Consider the following 1,474-nt stretch of genomic DNA (forward strand, 5'->3'; position numbering starts at 1 on the left):
GATTCCTACCGCTACTGCACACAGCCCCTTCTCCATCACAGCAAACTTTCCAGTCTTTTGTAGGGCCAATATAGTTTGAATATATGCCCTTGCCAAATGTCATGTTGAACTGTAATCCCCAATGCTGGAGGTGGAGCCTGGAGGGAGGTGTTTGGATTATGGGGGCAGATCCTTTATGTCTTGCTGCTGTCCTCGAAATAGTGAGTGGAGTTCCTGGGAGATCTGGTTGCTTAAAAGTATGTGGCACTGGCCGGGCGCGGTGGCTCACGCCTGTAATCTCAGCACTTTGGGAGGCCGAGGCGGGTGGATCACGAGATCAGGAGATTGAGACCATCCTGGCTAACACGGTGAAACCCCGCCTCTACTAAAAATACAAAAAAATTAGCCGGGCTTGGGTGGCGGGCGCCTGTAGTCCCAGCTACTAGGGAGGCAGGAGAATGGCGTCAACCCAGGAGGCGGAGCTTGCAGTGAGCCGAGATCTCACCACTGCGCTCCAGCCTGGGTGACAGAGCAAGACTCCGTCTCAAAAAAAAAAAAAAAAAAAAAAAAAAGTATGTGGCACTTGTCTCTCTTGCTCCTGCGCTGGCCATGTGGCATGCCTGCTCCCACTTCACCTTCTGCCATGAGTACAAGCTGAGCCATAATGCAAGCAAGAGCTGGTTCCAAGGCATATAGTTAGGCAATTGGAGTGAATGGAGCAACTAGCCAAGGATTCATGTGGAGTCACTTTCAAGAACCAGAACTCCAGAGGGTCTTAGGTCACACTCGTAACTTTTTTTTTTTTTTTTCAGGTCAGGCAGGTAATGTGCTGACATTGTAACAAGGTTTGAGGGTGGTACATTTCACACACATGTGTGAAACACCCAACCATCATCCTCATGAACTACAAAAGGATCCTTTTTTTTTTCTTTTTTTTTTTTTTGAGACAGGATCTCACTCAGTTGCCCAGGCTGGAATGCAGTGGTATGATTGCAGCTCACTGCAGCTGCAACCTCCCCAGGCTCAGGTGATTCTCCCACCTCAGCTTTCTGAGTAACTTGGACTACAGGCTTGAGCACCATGCCTGGCTAATTTTTGTATTTTTTATAGAAACAGGGTTTCACCATGTTGCCCAGGCTAGTCTTGAACTCCTGGGCTCAAGAGATCTGCCTGCCTTAGCCTCCCAAAGTGTTGTGATTACAGGCATGAGCCACTGCACCCAGCCCACACTTACATCTTTAAGTAATTTAGCATCTGGACTTGGTTGTAACAAAGCCCAGTTGGAGTCACACTCTGGTATCTGGTTGCTATGATTTGAATGTCCCCTCCAAAACTCATGGAGAAATTTATTTATTTAATTTATTTATTTATTTATTGAGACAGAGTCTTCCTCTGTCACCCAGGTTGGAGTGCAGTGTCATGATTTTGGCTCACTGCAACCTCTGCCTCCTGCATTCAAGTGATTCTTCTGCCTCAGCCTCCCCAGTAGCTCTGA

General features: G+C 47.6%; 1 non-coding gene across 1 annotated transcript; it reads right to left on the reverse strand.

Moving 5' to 3' along the window:
* Window positions 1-790: 790 nt before the first annotated feature.
* Window positions 791-895, reverse strand: LOC124903261 (small nucleolar RNA U13). Its single transcript, XR_007063960.1, has one exon. It is a non-coding gene; the product is annotated as a small nucleolar RNA U13 (small nucleolar RNA).
* Window positions 896-1,474: the final 579 nt, after the last annotated feature.

This window comes from Homo sapiens, chromosome 13 (assembly GCF_000001405.40).
Source record: "Homo sapiens chromosome 13, GRCh38.p14 Primary Assembly".
In the NCBI taxonomy this organism is placed as follows: domain Eukaryota; kingdom Metazoa; phylum Chordata; class Mammalia; order Primates; family Hominidae; genus Homo; species Homo sapiens.